The sequence below is a fragment of the Homo sapiens genome, chromosome 8 (genome assembly GCF_000001405.40).
Source record: "Homo sapiens chromosome 8, GRCh38.p14 Primary Assembly".
Classification (NCBI taxonomy): Eukaryota; Metazoa; Chordata; class Mammalia; order Primates; family Hominidae; genus Homo; species Homo sapiens.
Window position 1 is genome coordinate 40928702 of NC_000008.11, and position 5909 is coordinate 40934610.

The 5909-nt window shown below is 48.2% G+C and overlaps 1 long non-coding RNA gene across 1 annotated transcript; it reads right to left on the reverse strand.

Moving 5' to 3' along the window:
- Window positions 1-1166: 1166 nt before the first annotated feature.
- LOC105379390 (uncharacterized) lies at window positions 1167-5207 on the reverse strand. The gene is made up of 3 exons (XR_949704.2): window positions 5017-5207; window positions 2077-2167; window positions 1167-1359 (listed from the first exon to the last, which is right to left on the reverse strand). It is a non-coding gene; the product is annotated as an uncharacterized LOC105379390 (long non-coding RNA).
- Window positions 5208-5909: the final 702 nt, after the last annotated feature.

Consider the following 5909-nt stretch of genomic DNA (forward strand, 5'->3'; position numbering starts at 1 on the left):
TGCTGCACCGTGTATCCCCTTTCTAAGGATCCATGATGTTTATTGTTGTTGTTGTTGTTAGTGAAACCTTTTAAACAACCTTCAGGAAAATCATCCCTGTTTTTCGCAAACTTTCTAACCTTTCCCCATGAAGAATTTTTTTTTTTTTTCATGAAATGGAATTTCACTCTTCTCGCCCAGGCTAGAGTGCTCACTGCAACCTCTGCCTCCTGGGTTCAAGCAATTCTCCTGCTTCAGCCTCCTCAGCAGCTGGGATTACAGGCGCCCACCCCCACACCCGGCTAATTTTTTTGTATTTTTAGTAGAGACTGGGTTTCGCCATGTTGGCCAGGCTGGTCTGGAGCTCCTGATCTCAGGTGATCCGCCCGTCTCAGCCACCCAAAGTGCTGAGATTACAGGGGTGAGCCACCGTGCCCGGCACATAGTGACATTTTTATTAGTGTCTTGCAGACTTGCACTCCACAAAACACACTTGGAAAAGGCTTTTCCAGAATGGTATAGGATGGTGTCTGCGACCATAGTTCTTCTGCAAATGTAGCAGTGAACTCTGCATGACTGTTTCTAGCACGTTTAATTAAAGCCAAGGGCATGATTCTCAAAATGCAATCCAAGGAAGGTAATTATGTAAGAAAACAAATGAATATCTTTCAAGAAATTTGCCTTCTGATGGTCTGCTAAGATCACAGGTCTCAGAGTGCTTACAGGGGTGGATGGGATGTGGGACTTTGGACAGTCACCCCTAGATGGCACTTCTCTCACCACATAATGTGGGTACTAAATGGGCAACAATTCTAGGTGAAACTCTCAGAAGAAAAACAAGAGCACCGTTATCTTACATTGATAATTGAGGATAGGATCCAGATGCCTTGGAAACCAGAAAAGCAAATGGCGCAGATGCCATATGAGAAGTATGATCCATCTTCCTATCTGAATGGTGGTCTCCACCCTCCTCAAGGATAGGAGGCACGAAATGGTTCGGCTGCAGCCACACCAGGCTTTGGCAAGAGGTGGAAGCCATGTTTAGCCCTCCTGACTCTCCTCATTGTCACCCCATTCAGTTATTACTCACCCTACCAACTACCCAAAGACCTCAGCTTTGCTCGAATATTTTGAACTGAGTTATAGGCTGGCTGTTTTAATATGTCAGAATTATTTTATTGCCTGTTTTGTCTTCTTTTTCACAAATATTTAGTGCAGAGCTTTTAGATGCATATACTGCATGCTGATGAAGTCTGGGTTTTCAGTGTACCCATCATCCAAACAGTGAACATGGTACTCAATAGGTAATTTTTCAGTCTTCACTCCATTGTTTTGTTTTTATTAAATTGATGGAAGTCTGAAGCCATGAGTAATCGGGAGCTAGAAAGGAGAGAGAAGGAAAACAGACAAAATGTGGGTGAGGTACACCCTCCTGCACACTTGCTATTTTTGCTTAAAACTATTTTTTCCAGTAGTCGAACCATAAATATTGGGATGATTATGATGATGGTGGTGGCTGGGTTTTAACTGAGTTCCTGCTCTGTGCTATGTACATGCCTGTCTTTAGCATGTTTTCTAAATTCCCCTGCTGGCTCCTTCTCATTTTTCTGACTTCTAAACACTGGAGTATTCCACAGACCTTTTCTCTTCTCTATCCTAATGCATTCCTTATGATCTCATGCAGTCCCAAGATCTAAAAAATTACTTACAAATTGGTGATTCCCAACTTTATATCCCAGCCCCAGTCTCTCCCCTAGGCTCAGACTCTCACATCCACCTGCCTACTCAACACCTCCATTTGGATGTTTAATAGGCACCTGCAACTTAACATGCCTCAAGCCAAACGTTTGATCTCAGCCCCCGCCACAATGGAAACAGTCTCCTTCCAGCAGATTCTTCATCTTGGTTCATGACAACTCCATTTTACTAGCTGCTCAGGACAAAGCCTTGAAGGCATTCTTTGTGTCTCACAATACACACACTCCACATCCATCCATCAGGAAGTCTTTTAGCTTCTAAATGCCAAATATATCCAGATCCTGACTATTTCTTAACACCATCACTACTTCCATAATCCAAGCTATCACCATCTCTCACCTGAAGATGCAGCAGCCTCCCAACTGGTCTTCCTCCTTCCCCAACAGCAGTCTTAAAATCTCCTTTCCACTCAGCAGCCAGAGTGATGCTTCTAAAATGTATGTCAAGCCATGTTATTTCTCTGCTCAAAGCCTCCAATGACTGTCCATTTCCCTTAAAGTAATTATGCAAGGCCCACATGACCTGACTTCCCTGTACACACACACACACACACACACACACACACACACACACACACAATCTCTCTACCCTCTTCTCTACTTTCTCCTCATTCCCTCTACTCTAGACACACAGAGTGTCCTAGTCCATTCTGGTTGCTATAACAGAATACCATGTTTGGGAGGCTGAGGCAGGTGGATCACGAAGTCAAGAGATCAAGACCATCCTGGCCAATATGGTGAAACCCCATCTCTACTAAAAATACAAAAATTAGCTGGGTGTGGTGGTGCTTGCCTGTAGTCCCAGCTACTCGGGAGACTGAGGCAGGAGAATTGCTTGAACCTGGGAGGTGGAGGTTGCAGTGAGCCAAGATCGCACCACTGCATTCCAGCCTGGTGACAGAGTGAGACTCTGTCTCAAAAAAACAAACAAAACAAAACAAAACAAAAGAATACCAAAGAATACCATGGACCGGGTGGCATATGAACAAAAAAGTTATTTCTTTTATTTATTTCTGGAGGCTGGGAAGTCCAAGATTAAGGTTTCTGTAGATTCAGTGTCTGGTGAGGGCCTGCCTTCGGGTTCATAGATGGTTGGCTTTTCACTGTAACTGTACAGGGCAGAAGGGGCAAGGGATCTCTCTGGAGTTTCCTTTATAAGGGCACTAATCCTATTCCTAGTCACCCCCCAAAAGCCCCGCCTCTTCATGTCATCACCTGGAGAGTTGGGATTTCCCTGCATGCGTCTGAGAGGACATAAACCTCTGGTCCTCACACTGAGGGTGTCCATGCTCTCTGAACACACCAGGCGCTCTTCCACTTGGCATCTTTGACCTTGCTCTTGCCTGTGCCTGGACATCTACATGGAACCTCACTTTCTTCCAGTTTCTGTTCAAGTATCACCCATCAGAGATAATTTCCTTGCCCATTCTTAAAAGATAAAAAAAAACCCTTCCCATGAACACACACACACACATCACTGTCACTCTCAATCTACTTATCCTGTTTATTTTTCTTCATAGTATTATTACCACCTGATACATCATATATTTATTTATTGAGTTTTTCACCCTCTCACATTAGAATATAAACATGCTATGGCCAGGTATGGTGACTCATCCCTGTAACCCCAATACTTTGGGAGGCCAAGGTGGGAGAATCATTTGAGCCCAGAGATTGAGACCATCCTGGGCAACATAGGGAGACTCTACAAAAAATAAAACAAAATAATTAGCCAGGCATGGTGGCACACCTGTAGTCCCAGCTGCTTGGAAGGCTGAGGTAGGAGGATTGATTGAGCCTGGCAGTTGGAGGCTGCAGTGAGCTATGGTAGCACCACTGCTCTCCAGCCTGGACAACAGAGTAAGACCCTGCCTCAAAAACAAACAAACAAAAATCCTAAGAGGAGAGACTTTATATTTTGTTCACTGCTTTACTTTTAGCACCTAGAATACACTTCAGTGTGGATTTACATATATTCATATTGTTCATTAAATAAATGAGTGCAGGTATCATGCTCCAGCTTTACAAATGAAGACGCAGAAACTCTAGAAGTGAATCACCTGCCAAACACCAGGAAGTGGTGGAGCCAGGATTTGAACCTACGTTTCTCAGGCCCCACAGGCACAGCCCTTTCCACTGTACCCTTATCCAGTCCCCATCGGGCCCCGCATGCACCATGCTCACAATAATAAGACACCCCGTGCCCACCTCCCTTCTCTTGCCTTTGGGAACAAGCAGCTGTCAGGGCTGCTGTGGGAAATGGAGAAGCAGGTGCCACAGGCAGAGGAGAAGGCCCGGCTGTTTGAGGTTGTGTGTGTGCCGTGCACCCTGCCTCCTCGGTCTCTCGTCATCAGACCAGGAATATCTGCAGCTGGCATGGATTCCAGAACCACACCCCCACCCTCGCCGCCCGCCGCCCCCGCAAGAGGAAAAGCAGGCGCTCAGAGGAGTCTGGGCTTCCCACAGCCCTTCCGCAGCACCTCCTGTGGGCCTGCTCGCCATGCACGCTGTTCAGGCTTCTGTATTAATTATGAGACGTGGAAAAGAGCAGGAAATCCATCTCCCTAATGCAACTCAGCTTACGACGTTTTCCACCTCAGCGATTCCATCCCTGCACTGCCAGCTCGGCGGTCCCATGAGATTCCCCATGCCTTCCGTGAGAGCAGAGCGCCCTGGGCATGGCCTGTGCCCAGAGGTGCAGGCCGCAGCAGGAACGCCCCTGATTGAGAGCTGCACCAGGCCCACCCCAGCAGCCCCCACGTGGCTGCCCCCGAGGCTGGGGCTGGGAAGAAGTAAGGGCAGCGGGGAGAAGGCTCTTGAGAAGCTTGCTAGGGCCTCCTGCAGTCTCCCCGAGGAGCACGGGCTTTCCTCAGGTCTCTCCCAAGAGCAGCAGCCGACCCGCTCTGCACACTCAGGATCAGCCCCGGAGAAGTCAAGCTGCTTCCCTTGTTCTCTGCCTCCCAGGCTCTTCCCTGAGGCCACGGGAGATTTCATCAGAAGAATATCAGTCTATTGATATGGGTGCCGGCAGCCTTTCTCAACAGAATACCAAAGCTACAGCTCCTCTGTCCCCTGGCTGCCTCCGGGACTCTCCCGTCCTTGCCTCTGTTGACTGAGCTGTGGGCTGAGCTTTAATGTTTCAGGGCCTTCACTTGGTGGACGAGGGTGTATGTCCGAGAGACAAGGAGAAGGGAAAGAAACACAGTCAGGCCTCCAGCAGCGCAGCCATGGTTGCTACTTAGGATACTTCATTCCTCCCCCTTCCCGCACGGTTCCATACCCCGAGGAGACTCAACTCGCGCGTCCGGCTGTCTTCCGTGTCACACACCGATCTGAGCGCCTGGGGAAGGTTGACAGCCTGGGCCCTGGCACCACTGCTGCTACTGCGACTGCAGATTCCATCATAGCATCTCTTCTGATGCCTCCCCTCTCCTCCATCAGCCACTGCCCGTGTGCTGCCCCACTTGTAAGCCCGTGAGTCCTAAATGATTCTGCAGGATAGTAAATGGTGTTATGTGTAGGAGGAGATTTGAAGGGTAAGCGGGACTGTAACACAAAATAGAAAAAGCTGAGTTTGGTAAAGACGAGTGGGTTCTTTACAGCAGAACTTCTCAGAGCCTTTAAATATACATGCAGATTGTGAATTCCCCAGAGGAAAATAGAGTAGTCATGTTCCCCTAACTTATTTTACAAGAGAGTGCGTTTTTCAAGGCACTTTTCGTTGAATAGGGCTTCTGAGCCCTATTTCATGAAACATCACTGCAGGCACTTGGCAGCCACCGACAACACAAAAATTGGCAGGAGGCATGGGGGGGACTGGGAAACGCTGGTAGCATCTCCCTTCTGGTGAGACAGAGAATCCCGCATTCAGAAGAGCAAGACACCGGGCCCTTACAGCCCCCCTTCCAACACCGGTCTACCCTCTTGAAGGAGTTGCATGCGTGTGTGTGTGTACCTGTGTATGTGCCTGTGTATGCATGTGTGTGTGCATGTGTGTGTAGACAGAAAGAACGAGGGAGATGAAGGATGCACGCTGCTCATGAGGGTGTGTGACGTGGGCACCAGAGAGGACAGAGAACAGCAAAAAGAGGGGAGAGGAGCTGGAGAAACAGCAGAGGAGGCAGTGACTTTCTGAGAGGTACCTGGAAACGCCCCCCACTCTCCCTTCACATC